Source organism: Homo sapiens, chromosome 6 (genome assembly GCF_000001405.40).
Source record: "Homo sapiens chromosome 6, GRCh38.p14 Primary Assembly".
NCBI lineage: Eukaryota > Metazoa > Chordata > Mammalia > Primates > Hominidae > Homo > Homo sapiens.
In genome coordinates this window covers 107,517,862-107,538,189 of record NC_000006.12, presented here as the reverse complement: position 1 = coordinate 107,538,189, position 20,328 = coordinate 107,517,862, and the positions used below count along the sequence as shown (strand labels likewise).

At 39.7% G+C, this 20,328-nt stretch overlaps 1 protein-coding gene across 9 annotated transcripts in view; it reads right to left on the bottom strand.

The window, feature by feature from the left end:
- The window catches only part of SOBP (sine oculis binding protein homolog), a 171,190-nt gene that overhangs the window by 123,117 nt on the left and 27,745 nt on the right, over positions 1 to 20,328 (bottom strand). For 4 of the 9 annotated variants that reach the window (NM_018013.4, XM_047418963.1, XM_047418964.1 and 1 more), the window contains one exon: positions 4,580 to 4,731. The exons of 1 other annotated variant lie outside the window; for it this stretch is intronic. In NM_018013.4, the coding sequence (NP_060483.3) occupies positions 4,580 to 4,731 (152 nt within the window). Of the gene's footprint in view, positions 1 to 4,579; positions 4,732 to 7,111; positions 7,273 to 8,578; positions 8,732 to 20,328 lie in introns of those variants that run through there. 4 more of the 9 variants (XM_011535920.3, XM_047418962.1, XM_047418967.1 and 1 more) reach the window with 3 other exon arrangements.

The window sequence follows — 20,328 nt, the reverse complement described above, 5'->3', positions numbered from 1 at the left end:
GACTATGTCTAAATAAAATATAACTCCAAATAACATGATGATACATGCTAATTAGAGATGGGTTCTTCCAAAAGAAATGTCTTCTAAGAAGAGATCGCTGTATAACCAAGAATATAGTCTGAAAGTAAAAGAAATGCCAATAACAGAATATTCTCCTCCTTGAATTATTTATGTTATTATTATAATGATTGTTAGGAAATCTTAATGGCATCATTTGCAAATGTTGTTTCTGTCTATATCATCTTTTTCTTTTTAATGCATCCTTATCCTCATCTCTGAGCCACATTGGTTTCTTCCCACTGTGATCTGCTGGGGAACCACAATATCATGATATTGAAGAAGTATTTCGATCTTTTTTTTTTTTTTTTTTGAGATAGGGTCTTGCTCTGTTGCCCAGGAAGGAGTACAATGGCACAGTCATGGCTCACTGCAGCCCCAGCCTCCTGGGCTAAGCAATCCTCCCACCTCAGCCTCCTGAGTAACTGGGACTACAGGTGAGCACCATCACAGCCAGCTAATTTTTGTATGTTTTGTAGAGACAGGGTCTCGCGCTATTGCTCAGGTTGGTCTTCAACTCCTGGGCTCAAGCAATCCTCCTACCTCCACCTCCCAAAGTGCTGGGATTACAGGCATGAGCCATGGCGCCCGGCCTTTCAAATTATTAAAAAACTAGAACAAGGAAGCAAAACTTTGGTGCTCTTAGGAATTTGTGTTTACTTGTAAATTATCAACATTCCGAATCCATAAAGAACACTAAAAACTTGAGATCCGAACAAGAAAAGTAAATAATCATCCTTTACATTGCCTGCAGTAGCCATTTGTCTTGACTTTTAATTTCCTTCTTGATTTTTGGATATTAGTTTGGACAATAAGATATTTCCCATGTAAAAGGAAAGAGATCAAACACAGGCCATTTGGAAGTGACTAACATTTGTGGTCTTGTTTGTTACTCCTTTTTAGAGGGATAATGGTTACAAGACATTACTCCCTTAGGAAAGAGTATTTTTACGTGTGCATTACTATGCAAAGTAAAACTGGTGTTAGCAAGTTGGACTAAATGTTTTCACAAGAGTGCAAAATCACTAAGGAGTCTCTGCAACTTTCCAATTCCTAGATGAATTACAAGGACAGAAATGCTCTCAAGTCCAAAAATGGGCTGGGAAAAGAGTGAGCTATTAGTTCCCTGAAAAGTCTCCAATACATGAAATAATGAGATTGACATCCCATTGTCCATACAATGCCCACAGACTACATAAGTATTTTTCTTACCCGCTGTTTCAAAAACTTTTAAGCCAGCAAATAAGCCTTCGGGGATAAGGACCCTACAAAATATATTATGAATTAACACTATCCACTTCCTAGAGCCAACATTCTGAAATGTGTAAACTAGTAGTTAGAGTCCTTAAGTGAATACAGCTGTGATTCATGGTCCTCTCCTGGCAGTGTTGAGTAGAAGTATTTTGAAGAAAGCCTAATATTCGTAGCAATCCAGACAACTCTTCAAATAAAAATTTAAATTCAGTTAAAAATATAACCTATATACTATATAGGTTAACCTGGCTTCAATCCATCCCACCTTATTGCATAGTGACAGTCTGTGAGAGATGTATGTGACACTTTCAACCCGCCCCATTAAACAAACACAGAAACCCAAAAAGAAATGAAGGATTGAGAGGCAAAAGAAATTTCAAGAGCCCATTTTCAGTGGGCCATCATTTTGAGAGTTGGGTTATTTTTGTCCTTGTTTTCAGCAGCAAATCAATTCCTGACTCTACACCCAAGCGTGTGTGAAGAGAAATGCACAGAGACCACAAGCACAGCTGTCCAATTTACATTCACAAATGCAGGTGTTGCTCAGACACAAAACAGAGGTCAGCTGAATACTGCTCCTAATTAGCTACCTTTTCTACTAGGATTTTTCTTTGTAAAGTTATGCATGCAATTTGGGTTCAACTTAGAGACCATTTTTAGATCCCACCATGCTATCCAGCAAGAAGCGGGCTGTCATAAAGCATAATTTACAGCACAGTTAATTTTATGTTTTTTTAAGTCTACACTATACCTAAGGCAAAATTCTGTTCTGCACACACACACATTATTCACTCTGTTTTCTATCCACTTCTCAAAACTTAAAAAAGGTAGAATTTAGCCAGAAAAAAAATCTGTTATGTAGGAATGGGAAGAATTTTGCCCTTTTTCTAAGATTAAGAAAGTCCACAATTTAATTAACAAGGACTAAGGACTTTGTTAAATGATACAAGAGGAGAAGTAGCTATTTGCTATTGTCTTCAGTACGGAACACCCAGGGGCTTATTACAAGCAGTTCTTAGAAATGGCAGGATGGAGACTGGTATCTAATACAATCCATTAGGAAACCCAAGCCCTAAATGAAATGACCACAAAATCCTATCAGTTAACAGAAATGCAGCAGCTGTACATGTTTATTGTAAGACAATATAATATTGTAACAGAGATAACACTCTTTAAAATTAAAAAAAAAGAAGCCAACAAATGATAGACTAGTTTATTTCTCTATTTGGAAAAAAAAAAAACACACACACACACACACACACACAAGAAGGCATAGCACATCAGAGCTTTGGGATATATAAGGAAGGATGAAGACTGCAGAGAAGGGAGGAATTGTTTGTACACTAACAGACAACTGGGATCAGCTGGCAAAGTCACTGGCTAAACACCAAACTGCTGCAACTTCCAGGTTTAGCAAGATGTTCAAAGACATATCCCAATAACGCCTGGTAGAAAGTGAAATGTGATGGTCCTCCTCCCACTGCTGACTTTACCTGCTGTAAGTATTTCAAATGCTAATTCCTATCCTCGCTCCCAGTTATCCATTTTTCAAAAATGTACCCTATGAAAGTTTAAATTCAGTTTGACCTTAAACTTTATAATGATGTAAACAATATAGATATAGATATGGTATTCTGGAGTGTTTTTCCAAATGGAATCAGGTGTCTTTCTTCAAAGGCTCACTATAAAATACAGTTTGCAAAATATAACATGTATCACCAGGATTGTGACAAATCCATCTTGCTTGATTTTAGTCCCTACAGGCAGCCCATCAAGATTCAGACCCATAACCCTTCAGAATTATAGAAAGACAAAAAGCCCTGTTCTATAGCCATCTTCTGGATTGGAATGCAAAGTATTTTGTTGTGGTAAGTAGGGCTTTGAAGAAGAAAGCACTGGGCCCACTCCTGGGTTTGTTACTCCAGTGCTCGGCATTCAAAACGGGAGCCCCGGGGTCTCAGAGATCATTTTAATCCCCCTATATTAAAACAAAACGTGTCTCCCGTGCATCATTCTTCCCACCCTCCTCCCCAGATTCACTGGCTCCTCCCAGGGGAAAGTGAACTTGACTGCTGACAGTCCCAAAAGAATTCCAAACAATTTCCTTACTTGCCTCTCTGTTTCAGTGAAGATTATGAGCCTAACTCTTAGAGACTGCTACTAAAATTCCACCCTGCTGAATTCTGCAGCCTAATTCTTTTGGCATTATGTTTTTTGGCAGAATGAATGTGACCCAAATTTTCAGGAGATAATTTGCTGCAACAGTGCCTGCAATGCAGTGAGCCCATAATTAGCATTTCAGGATTGCAAATATCACACTTTTGGAAAAATAATAATTGTTTGCTTCAAGAAGAACAGATTTGGATCTTGTATTATAGAAATGGAAACAACAAAATGTGGACAATTTTAGTAAAGATTTTATGAATTAAGGAAGCTTTACATATCAATGGAAAATAATTGAGGACTAGCAAGTTACCGCAGTAGTTGGTGGCAAAGGCTACAGCAGTTCTTTAAGGATTCAGAAAATAGTTGTGTGCATGTGCGTGTGATTGTAAAAACATCATGCATTCCATTTCCCATCCATGGTGGCTAACACTATTCAAAAAGGACATTTTCAGACCTGGGATGTCTTCAAAACAAAACCAAAAAAAATTCTAACGATGGCTGTTCCTGTGTTTACCCACCACGCTCCTCACAAATGCTTGGCTGTGTGAGCAATGTTGTTTCACGTATTCATGATTTCATCTTTTCTCAATATCAATCAGCTTTAACATAAGATGTCAAGAGAGACTTGACATTTTTCTTGACAAGAACTCGTGGGCCAGATTTTGAAAAGAGCAATAGCAGTATTTCCACTGGGTACAAGAATTAAACTAAGTGGGCTAAAACTTTCTGGCCATGCTTTTGTGGCTAATTACTTGGCTTTTTAAAGAAATATCTACCACTTATCTTTCATGTACTCAGAGTGCAGTCTGCACTCTACTGCTGGAAAGACACTGGCCATGAGGATACCAGCTGTGATCACAGTGTCCTCATCAGATTCATTCACCCTCTCAGAACACAAACACTAAGCCAAGAGAAACACATTAGAAGGGGATTCCTTATTCCAAAAGGTTAAGCATGACACAAAAGGGGAATCAACAAAACAGAGAGAATAAAAATATAAAAGTAAAAGGTGCGCAGTGTTTTCCGCTAGAAGCTATGAGGCACATGCGCGTGTGGGCTGGTGAGGCCTGTGGGGGGCCGCCTCTCTCTCCGGTGCTCTTACCTTATTTCTCTTGAAGTAGGCTCGTCGGCAGGCCGCAAAGCACTTCTCGCTGCAGAAGCTTTTCACCTCACTTCCCATACTCAGGGAATAGCGCTTGATTCCCACTTTCTGGCACCAGGCACACATTATTTGTACATTTGACACATCATCTTCTATAATAAAAGTATAAGAAAAATGTTCATATCAGAAGCAAACATCCCTTCAAATTTAGACACACCCTGAACCTGACAGAGCTACCTGGGCCTGATTTTAGTTTCTGGACCTTGGAGAAGAAGTGCTTTTTCTTTCTCTCTCTCTCTCTCTTTCTCTCTCTCTTTTTTTTTTTTTTTTTTTTTTTTTGGCTCCTAAGTTTCCAAAAGACATTTACTTAAAAACCAGAGCATGACTGCAGAGCCACAAGGGCTCCTAGGGCTTCTTAGCCTGGTTTAAAAAAAAAAAAAAAAAAGCTTCATCTGCCTAGTTAAACCAGCCCCAGCACTAACGAAGCTTGTAAAATAACCCATTTCTTCAAAGGTCCTGTGAAAGCCTGCAGGATCTGCACTGGGTGGGACAATTTGTAGGGTGCTAACTTACAAATGGAACACCCTCATGTGAACCTTGACCAGACGCCAGGCTCAACCATGGCCTGTTCCCTATTACTGTTAAATGATATGTGCTATTGTTTATTCTTGCAATGTAATAATTCCCAAGCAACACGTTTAGTCAAAAAGGAAAGATGTGCGTGGCCAGATTCTGGCAACGGAAAGGGACAAGCCTGGCTCGCTGAACAGACTCTGACAATGCAGCCTTCCGGCACTGGTGTCCTAAGGGAGATGCAGGCCTGATTGAAATTCTCCTCCATGTGATGTGGTTCCTGGGCCCTGGATGGAGGGATGGTAATGGGAATGCCAGATCATTCTCAGCCAGATTGGTGGTCCTCCCAGCCCCTCATGTCATGTCATGGGGTTGCTCAGAATGAATTTAGGTGGTTTGCAAATATTTCCATTATTTAAATTGTATTTCTTTTCCTTTGTATGAGAAGAAAACAAATTTAACTAGCATAATGAGCCCATGATATCACAAATACTACTGCTTAAAACAAAGGATTTTAAAGTGAGTCAATTAGTAAAATATATTCAGTAAGTCATAGTGCAGGTGGTCAGAAGTTATGACAAACATTATGATGGTGATATTCAGGTCTGGGAAAAACTGGCCTCTGAGGGGTGGGTGGGGGTGAATAAAAGGAAACTTTAAGTAGACACCTAAGTAATATTTCCTTGTTGCCTCTTAACGGCTTTTGCTACATCTTGAGTTTTCTCTGTCCTCCCAATTGATAGTGACTGTGTGTGTGTGTGTGTGGTGTGTGTGTGTGTGTGTGTGTGTGTGTGTGAGAGAGAGAGAGACTGATTGCCACATCTCTTCTTCCTTTATGGAATTTTTTTTTTATTAACCCACATTCATGCTCCAGACATGAATGGTAATCATAAAATCCCCAACAAGCACTCGTATAGTGTTGTCTGATTTCTGGATAAAATCCCCCAAAGACTAATTGCTAAGCAAGGCCTGGTCCACGAGTTGTTGACATATTCAGGGTTCATAGAGTTTGTCATGCAATCATTTCATTTCCAGGGAAAAGATTTGGTTTGAGGCAGTGTGGTCATCAGCCTGCAAAATTAGAAGCAAACTAATTTGTAGTGCAGAGATATGGCTTTTTTCCCCCTGAGTATCACCACTCAGAACTATATGCAGCATTTTATTTACCTCAATGGAATAAATATTGCCATTTTAATGACCTTTTAGTATTTCACAAATTACATATTGTGATCTATTGTTATCAAGTGAGATAGTATAAAAAATGACCTTTGATGTCAGTCCAACATTTTTGATAACTTTCTTTAAATGGTATAATATGAAATCAAATGTCAAACAATTACTGTATTTAATAATTTGTTCTATTCAAAGCAAGCTTTTTGATATTTCAGGAATATCCTTAACAAAAAAAATTTAAAAATAAATAAATAAAAGCAAGCTTTTATTTATATTTTACATGATCTCTAATATGGCATCTCTCTACATATGAACATTTTACATGGTATGAAAAATTAGCAAAGCTTTATAATTTACCTTGGTGTATGGAGCAGTTTTCTTAGATTAGAAATAGCATATATTTTAAAATATTCACCTATCTTTACTAAACTAGATAGCAACTAATAGTTTCTATTTTTCCCAATTGATAAGATACTTTAAAATCTTAAATTCCTGAAAAAGAAGATACAGCAGAATTCTCATAAATTATCCACTGGCAGTAAGCTTGATTCTGGTGAAATCTGTAAGGAAAAAAATTTATGCGGGAAATCACCTGGCCTCACAGTTTAATGAGGAGACCCCACTTCCCAAGGAGCCATTTTAGAACATGCATTAGGTCCCCCTCATTATTTCTTCCTTTAAATAATCTGATTTGGGAAACAAAGCATAAAACTGTTTAAGTCCTAGATCTTCAGCTATAATGGACCAACACTGAGATGAGAAAGAATAGAGTGCAAAGCTATTCACAAGGCCAGGCGCTTAGCTTGCAGCTTGGACCTGGCCTGAAGGAATGATGCTTGAGGCCAAAGGGCAGCTCCGGGGTCTTTCTCAAGCTTCAATCCATCATCACCAGACAGACCCACTTGTCATTTTTTAAAGGGAGGCAAGAATACTTTCTTACAAAGGACCTAACAAATAAACGAACAAAAAGGTAGAATTTTAAAACAGATTATTTCTTATAAATCATTCTTACTACAAAGCAACAATATGACATGAGACCAAATACATTGTGCACTTTTATATCTGGCTGCTGGAAAAACTTCTAGAATGATGGTTAGCATCTGCCTTGTTAAATAAGTCAACGCTCCCCGCAGTTTTTCATACAACTCCATTTCATAAAGGTATATGCTTTGGGAAAAGCCCATCAGATTTCTCCTTTTCTAGTATTAAACTGTTATCAGCAGCTAATGATCCAAAGAACAGTCTGATAATTGGGTTATTCAAAAAATTTAAAAAACATTTTCCGGTATTTCAGGCATTCTAGATTTATAAAAGTCTTTTATATTAGTAACAGATTTTAGAAACTAATAAAGAACTGTGATTATCTAAATTAATATTGTCAGCCAAACTATAGTTCAAAATTCTGTCATCAGACATGAGATGGTGTCCCCATCTTATGACTGCACCCCTAGAAAAGTGAACACTTCTTAAGTGGTTAAAGTCAAAAGGATCAGTCCACTTCAACCCTGCATCTCTTTCTACCTGAAACACGGAAATGAAATGCATGCTTTACAATAAACATGGAAATGAAATGCATGCTTTACAATGGCAAAATAGAAGGTTTCAGCACTTTAACTTTTCTAACTTGATCTGCTTTAAATTTTTTTTTCTACTTAAAAAAATATTTCTTCAAGCTAGGGAAAACCTAATTACCTGTCTTACATTTTGGCTAACGGTCTGTGCCATTAGAGACTTGAGATTACCTCAGAGAAGATTCACATAACAGATTTTTACATGACATTACCTTACAGCCATCAGCCTGTGCATTTTTATAATAAACAATACAACAAATGTAAAATGTTTACAGCATTAAATCACATTCCCAAAGAGAACGGTTTGTATAACATAATTTTCATATGATAATATCATATAAATATGTATCAGTCAAAATAAGCATATTTCAATTAATCATGAAAAATTTGTACCGAATTTAATTAAGCAGAATGTTTAAGGCATTTTCTTTCCAATCTAATGTTCCAAGAGCTATAGAACATTTTTCTACTTTACATCCCAGAAGTTCAGATTACTCCAAGATGAAATCAAAATTGTATTTATTATAGTGCAGAGAAGTATGAGATCAAGCATTTCTGGAATGCCCTGCTGAAGTTGTTTGAGAAATTGCCTTATCTGGTGACTTTTAAAAATAAGGATGGCCATTGGTCAGTGATCTTCTTGGGGCATTTAAATTGGCTATAAACATGTATACTAACTTACCTGACCAGTGCCCAAAGAAAATCAGTAGGGCATTAATGGACTCCAGGCAATTAAACTGTAGATTTACCACCCCTTTGTAACTTTCATGGGAGTCCAAGACTGAGGGGAAATTCCGAAAGTATTTGCTGGGACATCTATCTCCTCCAACAGTTCCTAGAATGCACACATCCAGATAATCAATGAAAGACCTGGATTATATTTGAGACAAGTTACAAGGCAGTCTGAGGAGACTCCTGTGTGTTCCCCATGCCATGAAATGACATGAAATGGCCCATGGCCGGGCTGCACTGTGTCAATCTACTTGTTGCAGCAGCTATATTTAAAAACAGAATAAAGTCAAGGCCTGGAAAGCAGGCAAGAAACTGAAGTTTGCTTTCTTTATAACTTCTGCAAAAAAGAAATTCCTTTTTGAAATAATTCAATTCCAAACACTTTAAAGCAATCTAACTTAAAGTTTCTACAGAGTCCACCAGGAGTTTCTGTACAATTCCCTGTGTTCTAGGAGTGAACATACAAGGAGACCCAGAGAAAACTGGGACCACTAAACCACAAAGAACATAATGATAGCAGTACTTCGCAGGTGCCCGCACAATGCACGGCTCATTTCAATGTTATTTAATCTTTTTCACAACCACCACCAACCAGGCAGTTACTAACATTAATCTCCATTGTGCAAATGGGGAAAGTGAGTTTATATGTTAAGTAATTTGCTCCTAATCACACAATAAGTACATATCAGAGCCTTACTGAGGACCAGGCCATCTGATTCCAGAGCCCAAGCTCTTGACCACTACACCTTAGAGACCACAGCTTTTCTAAGCAGTAAGATTATAAACCATCCTCACAGACCTCTCTCCACAAAAAGGACTAAAAGCTGTCACACATTTTGCAACTTACACAGCACATTGCTCAGTGACACAACAATAGACAAAGAAAATGAAATCAAAAAGGTCAAAATGTCTTTGAGGAGACAGCTGAAGTGTTAATCAATATTTGTTGATTGATTTTCAAAAAACAAGTTAAAGGCCCACGGTGCAAGCCTTTACTTCTTTATGACTATGAGACATGGATTTGCTGCAAACATTCTGTATAACTCGCACCAGCAAGTGCTACTTAAACATTAAATGATAAGACAGGCCCAATAATATGTGGATCTCAAGCAGTTATTCTACCCACAGGCAAGCAATACTCTTGTCAGCCTTCTCTTTTCTAAGGAGCAGGGCTCACAGCAGAACATGGATAAGACTGGCTTTCCATGTGGTTGAAATGGGAGACCCCCCTACCTCTGTAATTTCAAGGGTGCCAATAAGAATATCCTAGCTTCAAAAAATTATCCTTCAGCTGCTCACTAAGATTAAATTCTACCACTAGAAGGTCATTTCTTTGGCTAAATGTTTCTTATGAACCATTAAAACACCAATTCCCTGAAAGCAAGGAGGCTCAATATATACTTGTAAGTAATGATTTATGCTTTGAAATGAATGATTCTTTCTGAAGAATATGTTTTTACAAGGAATGGGAAGAAGGGCTGAGGATAGGGTTCCAATGAGAAAGGTAGAGAGGCAAAGATGGGAGAGTTGGGACATATTACTTAGCTAATCTCTAGCCTTGGAAAGAGCTAGGGCAACCTGAGGGCAGCCAAAGGAAGGCAGTGTGGACAGGGTGATGACACTGTAGGACATGTCAAATGTTCAGAGTGCCTTTTAAGTATGAATATGAAACACAGCAGACAATGGCATATAACTAAGGATTGCCAGAAAAGAAAAGCAACAGGCAGATCCACTTAGGACAATCTCAAGGGGGTGACTTTTTATAAGCAAATGAGGTAGTAGATGTACATTGCTTTGCAAATCTAAGTTGCTACTATTTGAAAGACAGTGTGGTGAAGCACAGAGATGGAGACAGAGGACCTTGGTGAAAGTACTAATATTGCCCCTTCTAGTTGTGTGTGACAAGAGTAAGTCGATCAAGGACTGGTCATGCCCACCCTAACTATGGCTTCGGTGAGGATCAAATACGATTAAATATGCACATTCTATATGTAAATGAGCCTTCCTTAGAACGAGTGGCAATTAGAACCACAAGAAAAGGGTAGGTGTCAGCTGTATGCAATCTGGAGAGGCCCAGTGACCAGGCACCAGTCTCTCCAATCACATCCCCTCCTGTGGATGACATCTGTAAAACCACTATCCTTGAATACAAAGAACAACTCAGTAACTGGTTAAATTTCACTAACTTAGATTATTTAAGAGTAAAGCCATTAGAATTAATAAAAGCCTCACTTACAGCTATTCTTTTAAAAAAGTACTTAACTTGAATTAATAGTTGACAAGATGTTGCCAAATATATCACTGCACTGCCAGATATTCTGTAATTAATAGATGGGAATTCTTTGTAATTATTACATTAACTATCCACACATGGGTGGATCTTCCTAAGTGCCTGAGAAGTTTGCTCATTTAAAAAGTATCAGAGCAACAACTGAAAATGTCTGCCACTTTGGTAACTGAACTATCAAGAATTCCCAAAGAGTGGTGTCTGAAAAAATAAAATTTTATTGAACTTAGCTCTCATTAAAAGGATAATGCAATTAAATGACAAAGGTCCATAATACTACATGAGTCTTTGTAGTACCTAAAATTATCCCTAATTTTCTTTTGTATAAATAGATTTGAAGTTATTTCAAGAATTTAAATAGTCCACTCCTCTCTAAACAGAGTAGTACTTAACCCCAAAATAAAATCTAAATATTCTATACATAAATTAAAAATTGGTTCCAATAAGTAAAAGGAATGACCCTATATTATACAAAATTACAGAAAAATGACAGACTTTAAAATTAATTTTCAATTTTCTAACGGAACATTCTACCCAATTTTAAATTATTTACATTCATATTATGAAGACAGACATAGACATAGATACAGATATAAAGAATGTGACTCCAGAAAGAACTACATGTTTACATGTGAGCTGGATAGGACCTGAGGTGTGTGGCTCATTTTATGACAGGCAGAATGCAGTAAGAGAGAGGTTCAGACAGTTGTGAGAGCCATTCCAGAGAGCACGGCATTTGAGTTGGGTCTTGAAGGATTTGGAAGGCGGGGAAGTTAAAGAGGAGAGAAAGGACAGTGGAACTGCAGGAGCCAGAGAGTGGAAGACAGGCTTGAAATGGGCAAGAATCCTGCAGTCATCCAGTTGACCAAGCTTGTGTGAAGGGAAAAGTAGATTAGACAGGAGCTGATAGGGCCTGAACAAGGAGTCTCATGGATGTCATTTTGGCATAGGGGGAGGGAATCAGCTCGTCTCTATTCCACAGGTAATAAGAAGCTCCCAAATGTTTCTCAATAAAACATGACAGACTGGGCACTGTGGCTCACACCTTAATCCCAGCACTTTGGGAGGCCAAAGTGGGTGGATCACTTGAGGTCAGGAGTTCAAGACCGGACTGGCCAACATGGTAAAACACTGTCTTTACTAAAAATACAAAAAAAAAATTAGCCAGGCATGGTGGCGGCTGCCTGTAATCCCAGCTACTTGGGAGGCTGAGGCAGGAGAATCGCTTGAACCTGGGAAGTGGAGGTTGCAGTGAGCCAAGATGGTGCCATTGCACTCCAGCCCGGGCAACAAGAGCGAAACTCCGTCTCGGGGAAAAAAAAAAGAACATGACAGGATCAAAGATGTGTTAAGAAATGTCACTCCAACAGGAGTAACAGGACGGATCAGAATTTGGAGAGACTAGAAATCCAGTTCCACATCTAGAAGCCTCAGTAAGCAAAGTGAGAGCAGGGTCCATGTCTCATTCTCTCTTGTGTGTTCAGTGCCTTGCACAGAACAGTGCTCATGCTACATGAAGGAATAAATGGACAGATGAATAAATGGCTGCAGAGGAAAAGGGATGAAGTCCTGAACCTACAGGGTGACAGTGGAAATGAAGAGGACAGATTTAAGAATGAGATGAAATCAATTATCAAAAGGTAGAAATGTTGCGAATCCAGAAATCACTGAAATTTCATAGTATTCATCTTCCCGTGTTTCTAGTCAAAGCAGACAGGGAAAAGTCCACAGCATTCTTGGGGAAGGTGACTCCAGAGTCAAATTCAAACAAAATGAAGTTGCTTTACAGTCAATGTCCCTTCCTCATTTATTCTCCCGTACTCCAATGAAGAAGGACAGCAAAAGGAGAGACTCATAAAGTCACAAAATTGTAATTCTGTCTTGAATACCATGCTGAGCTTGGATTCTTTAACATGACACTACTAAGTACATGTGCCTCCAGCTCCCTGACATTAATGTGAGTATTTCCCCATAATTTCACTGACTTGCCAGTGAAGGAGTTTCTTCTTGTAAGTTTCTTTGACAACCTCGCCTCTGCTTCTCAGTGTTCACTGTGGAGTCTGTCTTTCCTATGTAATCACCCTAAGAAACTGGAATAGGAAAGGAAAAAGGTAGAGCTTCAGACTAAGGAAAATCCACAGTCTTGTATGCAACACTTCCAAAAGCACGTTCCACAGAACACTAAGCCCATAGGGTACTTACATGGATGTGATTTTTAAAAAAGACTTCCATGATTAAATATGAATGGAAAATAGCAGGCTAAACAAAGTTAAACAACAGGCTTTTTACAGCAGGACATTTTGTTTCCACCAATGTACAATTAAGAATCTTTGAAAAGGAGAGAGAGTGTGCCATATTTCACAGATTTAACAGCGGACATGTCTTTTCACAGAGAATTCCCAAGACTGGACTTCTGAGGAAGCCTCCTGGAACGTGCTGCTCCACTGCCCTACATCAGCACTGAGGCATGCGCATTTCCATGTGGGTCATTAATTATCAGGAAGGTTTCTTCTCTTTTGCCCACAATTATATCCTCAATTGCCAGGAGCCTCCTTTGCCTGCACTGGGCAGAAAGACAAGGTCTGCAGCCATGTGGCCAGTGCTGGGCACATTGACCAACACCTACTAGTCCTCAGTATGCATGTTCAGATTGACTAAAGACACCCATGGTCCACAAAGTCCCATGGTGTCTGTTACTTGCATCAAATACAGAGAAGGCAATCCTTTTCCTATAGAGCCCTACAGAGAAAATGGGAGAAATCAACAATAAGGCAAAGAGAGAGTAATACAGACCAAATAGCTCATGTTCACTGGCTGGCTGCCATAGACAAGATGCTCAATTAAAATCGTATCCCCATCCCTGGGCCCTCAATCTGAACCTCTGAGCAATCTAAGATGTCCTGGGACAATGATGCTGCAATCATGGATTTGCTGTCTGCTAGACTTCTCTCTCCTAGATAGCTGAAGTCTACTCAGCATCTAGTCCACAAATGAACGTGATAAGCGACAAGGGAGTCAGATCAAAAAGTGTGCTCCAGCAAGCCTACCACTCATAGAAAACCAATTCTGAGGCCTTGCCCTGCCTAGAGGGGCACCATCTTCAAAGAGATACAAAAGTGGCAGCATATAAAGACTAAAAGGTCAAGCTGCTTTATACAGGACCTCAGAACAAGAAAAGCATTTCCATCATCTGCTCTTTAATGAAAGGGCTCATTTCCCCTTCTGAGATCTGACTGTCCCAATATTTACACTTAATGGGTCCCACAGTGGTTGACAATCTCCCCAGAGGTAGACAGAGGATTCATTTCTTTACTCAACTTCGTGCCAGGCACTGTATGATGGGCTGCAAATGCACTGACTAACAAGACACGCATGGACACTAACAAGGCCTCAAGGAGCTTCCCATGGCTGCCCCTAGTGTAAAAGGCCAATGTGCAGGAGAAAATGGCCAAGGACAAGCCTGGCCTGCTCCCAGGGCTCCATCACCATGAAGGATCATAGGAGCCAGATGTTCTTGGTGACTGTAGTAGGCAGGTGTAAGCATCTCCACTGGAGGGGAGCACAAGCAGCCCATCATGACAGAAGAGCAAGCCAAGTCCCTCCTCGCTGCTCCAGCCAGTCCTGCCAAGCAGCAGGCCACGTGGGGCCACCTCCTAGGGGAGGCAAATTGACAGGCTAGAGACTGGGTGTCAAAGGGACACCTGGGAGGGCCCAAGCACTCAGAGAGAGCACTGCTTGTTCTCCTCCTCAGCTCCTTTTCTTCCCTCAATACCCTGAACTGTAGTCACACCCAGAAAGTCAAGTTCAGTAGGTTGAAGGGTATGCAGAACTGCATTCAATTAAATGTGTTAAAAGAAGCAAGATGAACCTACTAGAACATTTCAACAAAATAATTTACTTCACTCTTCACTCTTCTCACCTTTAAATATTTATTTAGATTTCTTAGAGCAAAGATTGGTTGAGAGACTCTCTGAAGGGGCCCTATGCCAATCCCTACTCTGGAATGTAATGAGACACAGCATGCCAAAATAGTCCTGCTATGGGAAAAGTAGAGGGCAACACTAACAAGAAATCCTTCAGAGCACTCTTCTCTCTAGACATTCCTCTTGAGCTGCACTACGTATTCTTATGACTCCAGTTATCATCCATAATACGACGATGCCCAAATCAACACAATTATCTTTCATGAGCTACTATGTCCAACTGCCTCCCAGACATCTTAGTAAGTCAAGTCCAAAGCTGCATACACAACCCTCTCCATTTCCAGTCCCCTTCACTGCGTTTCCCACCTCAGTTCCTGGCCCTATCATCTACCCAGTTACCTGATGGCAGAAACCCAGCATCTTTCCTGCCTCTTCTCTCCCTCTCACCTCTCACCTCCCACCTCCCACATTCTGATTAATCACCAGGTCCTCCTAAATATTTTTACACAGCTGGGTGTGGTGGCTCATGCTTGTAATCCCAGCACTTTCTGGGGCCAAAGCATGTGGACTGCTTGAGCCCAGGAGTTTGAGACCAGCCTGGGCAACATGGTGAAACACCATCTCTACAAAAAAATACAAAAATTAGCTGGGCATGATCGTGCCTGCCTGTAGTCCCAGATACTGAGGAGGCAGAGGTGGGAGGATCACCTGAGCTCAGGGAGGTCAAGGCTGCGGTAAGCTGTGATGGCACCACTCGACTCCAGCCTAGGCAACAAAATGAGACCTTGCCACAAAAAAAAAAAAAAAAAAAAAAGTTTTTATACTACACCCAATCATTCATTCATTCGATGAATATTTATCAAGTCTACTTATATGTGAGGCACTGTTCTAGGTGCCTTATCTTCATGGAGTTTGTTACCCTCAATCCCAGTGAAGCCACCAATACCTCTTGCCCAAACTACAAGTAGCCTTCTAACTCACTGTCATGTAGTTCCTTCTCTCCATTCTGCATCTAGAAAATTCTTCTGAAACACCAATATGACCACTGCTCTCACCTGCTCAAAACTCTTCAGTGGCATCCACTGCCCTCAAGAAGAAAGTGGCACTCCTGGCATGGTCTCCATGGCTCCTAAGACCAGGCCAGCCTCACACCTGTCTGCTTTCTGGATTCTGGCTTCTTTCACTTCCTTGAGGCCCTCCCTCCACTCAGCCTTTAAATGTGCTGCTTCCTCCCTCACAACCCTAAAATCCTTTGCCAGTTTAGTCCTACTGATGAATTCAGTCCTTTGTATCTTATCTTAAACCTCATCCTAGGGAGACCTTCCCTGACCCCAAACCTGGTCAGATCCGACAGCACTCTGGACTTGGTAATTCTCAGACTTGATTGAGTTTGTGTGTGTGTGTGTGTGTGTGTGTGTGTGTGTGTGTGTGTGTGTGTGTGTTTTAATGTCTGTCTCTTCCACCAGACTATGAGCCAGGTTAAGACAGGAGCATATCTGTTTTGCTCACTAGAATAAAATGTCTGACCTGGGACCTCAGCACAAGGAGAAGAAAAGCATCCTTACTAGGTGCACCTTGGGTGTTGGATACCCAGTGGGGGAATGGAGGGAGCCAAGGCAATAATTCTATCTTAGGTATGTGCTCAACACAAATGTGTATATGTGTGAGCCAAAGGCACATAAAATAATCTTCATGGCAGCATTTATTCATAATAGCTAAAAATCGGGAACAACCCAAATGTTCACCAGCAATCATTAACATACACTTGGGATTCCTTAGATGGGCTTAGGTGGTTAAGTGTAGGTCCTGAAGTTGACTGTGAAATTGTGTATACTAAGAATTCCTGCCTGCATATGAGACCTGGATTTCCATAGTTTCTAAGAAAATTTTAAACTCCTCCTAATTTAAGCAACTAAGCCCTAGAATGTAATTTGACCTTTTTAATCCTATATTTAGTCTGTTCATAGCTTTCTCAAATTAAGTAGAATATTTAAAAATCTCATCATTCCTTATTATTAAGGAATTATTACCAAGTGAAATGCAAATGTATCATAGTGAAGCCTAAAAATTAAGTTATAGGCATAAGGCATAGATATACCCCTCTGTGGTCTACTTGAGAGCTGCATTTGATATGGTGTAAAGTGGAGAGAAATTAGGAGACACTGGGTGAGTGACAAAAGTAGAATATACAATATCTCTACCTCCCAGTGGTTCTTATCAGGGTGTGACTTGGCCCCCAGGGGACATTTGGTAATATCGGGAGACATTTTTGATTGTCACAGCTAGGAGAAGGGGTACTAATGGCATCTAGTGGGTAGAGGCCAGGTATGGTGCTAAATGTCCTACAATGCACAGGACAGCCCAAACCAATTATCCAGCTGAAAATATTAACAATGCTGTGCTTTAGAAACCAGGCTCCACAGTGATGACAGGTCTGTGTATGGGACACCTCTTGTGCTCCTCTTCAAATCCTCTTGGCCAAGGGCACTGCCTTTGAGAACAAAGTTGCCTTAGAGGGAAACACTAGTGAAAAGCCCCAGAACATACTGGGATCATTATGACCACTCTCCTTGGTCAAGTTAATCAACTAAGTCTTCTCCATTTAACAGGAACTTTAAGAAGTCAGCACTGCGACTGTCCCTAGAATAACAAGAAATGCCAGAAACACGGCCACCCTCTAACAAGAAAGGAAAGGCACAGCTGACATTTCCTCTTATTTCCTGTTAGCATCTTAGCTCCTTGTTGACCTGGGACAAGGTATCCTGAAAGTATTATCCTAGCTACGTCATAACTCCAAAAAGAGTTTAGAAAATGTCAAGAGAAGTTCTGGGCTGCCTCCGGAATCACAGAAGTATGTGATCTAGAATCCATGATCAGATTGTGTCCCCATCCCTTTCAGAAGTGAGTTCTGGTCCTGGTTCTGCCATTAAGGCAACTGAGTGACCTTGAGAAGATCATTTAACCTCTCCAGACCTCATTTCCTCTGCTGTAAAAGAGAAAATTTAATTAGATGATATTCTAGGTTTCCTCTAAGTAAAATTCTAGCATTCTGAAGCTCTCACAATAACACAATCCATTTAAAGGAGCTGAGGCAAAGGATATTCTTTTTACTTTCCTCTTTTACTCGAACCCCTGACTTAGTTTCTTTGTTTCTCCTCCTTCTGTGTAGCCACCACTGTTTTTCCTTACCCCTACCATAGGAGGATTAGAAAATTCTTTGGCTGACAGGACAATTTTAGAAATGGCCCTTTCTGAGTGCTCCGTTATTGTGCCACTGAGAATCTGGTGCCCTTTTTACTCTTTCATTGTATATTCATGCTGGACTTTGAAGGGAAAAAAGACAAATGTTCATAAAATTCTAACTTTTTTATATTCCCTTCCATTAATTTCTGGTTTTTCACTGTGGACTTCTGTACACATGGCACTTCATCCTGAGTTTCCCAGAAAACAGAATCTGAGTCAAAGACTTGCATGTAGGTGCTTTAATGGGCATGTGATCCCAGAAAGTAGGAGTGAGGGACAAGAGAAATGAACCTAGGGAGCAGAAAGAGCCAACAGAAGGATGTGCTATTTAGTTGGCTACTGCTAAGGGAGACTGGTGTTCAATTGCAGAGGTAATTCTTTGGAGTGTATTAAAACATTTCATAACTATCTACCCAGGGGACAAAAGAAGGAAAAATTCAACTCTCCTGTCCTGTTGCTATAGTATGCTTTAATCCCCTACACTGCTGGTTTGCAAATGTTTCAGTGAATGCCAAAAGGATCCACATAGGATGCCCATGCTGCTATGTCAGAGAAGTCCCAGAGCAGGAAGCGAGAGACGTATGCCACAGGTGCGAGGCAAGTAACTTTCAGAATGCACACGCCCAAGCTGGTCAAAGTGTTACAGCAATCATGGGATTAACACGTGGGGCCAAGAGGACTTGAAGAGGAGCACAAGAGGTGTCCCATACACAGACCTGTCATCACTGTGGAGCCTGGTTTCTAAAGCACAGCATTGTTAATATTTTCAGCTGGATAATTGGTTTGGGCTGTCCTGTGCATTGTAGGACATTTAGCACCATACCTGGCCTCTACCCACTAGATGCCATTAGTACCCCTTCTCCTAGCTGTGACAATCAAAAATGTCTCCCGATATTACCAAATGTCCCCTGGGGGCCAAGTCACACCCTGATAAGAACCACTGGGAGGTAGAGATATTGTATATTCTACTTTTGTCACTCACCCAGTGTCTCCTAATTTCTCTCCACTTTACACCATATCAAATGCAGCTCTCAAGTAGACCACAGAGGGGTATATCTATGCCTTATGCCTATAACTTAATTTTTAGGCTTCACTATGATACATTTGCATTTCACTTGGTAATAATTCCTTAATAATAAGGAATGATGAGATTCTTAAATATTCTACTTGATTTGAGAAAGCTATGAACAGACTAAATATAGGATTAAAAAGGTCAAATTACATTCTAGGGCTTAGTTGCTTAAATTAGGAGGAGTTTAAAATTTTCTTAAAAACTATGGAAATCTAGGTCTCGTATGCAGGCAGGAATTCTTAGCATTTTTTGAGACAAGGATCTTTTTGAGAAAAAAAAAAAAAAACAGCCTTTCCTAAATTGTGCACATATGATATACACACAGTTCCACAGTCAACTTCATGACCTACACTTACCCACCTAAGCCCATCTAAGGAATCCCAAGTGTATGTTAATGATTGCTGGTGAACATTTGGGTTGTTCCCAGTTTTTAGCTATTATGAATAAATGCTGCTATGAAGATTATTTTATGTGCCTTTGGCTCACATATATACACATTTGTGTTGAGCACATACCTAAGATAGAATTATTGCATTATACATTTTCAAGAACACTTAATTGTATAAATTATTGCATATGTGTATGTTCAGCATTAATAGATATTGCCAATCAGCTTTCAATAGTGGTTACATGTATTTACACTCTCACCAGCTATGCATGAGAGTCCCAGTTGCTCCATATCCTCCTCAAACTTGGTATTGTCAATCTTCTTCATTTTAGCCATTCTCATGTGTGTTTACCGGTCTCTCACTATGATTTTAAATCTGATGTCCCTAATGAGTAATGAGATTGAAAAACTTTTCATGTTTACTGATAACTTGGATATTTTCTTTGATGAAGGGCCTGTTTACATTTTTTGCCTATTTTTCTATTGAGCTGTTTTATTTTTATTTACAGAGATTCTTTATACATTGTCAATATAAGTCTTTTACAGGGAAATGCATTACAAACTTCATCTGGTACTCAGTGATTTGCTTTTTCATTCTTTGGAAAGATTTTTTCTTTTTTTATTTGTATAAATTCATGGGATATGAGTATAATTTAACTATATTGATATATTGCACTATGGCGAATTCAAGGCCTTCAGTGTATCCATCACTGGAACAACACATATTGTATCCACCAAGCAACCTGAAAGATTTTTTAAAATCAGCAAACATTCTTAATTGTATTAT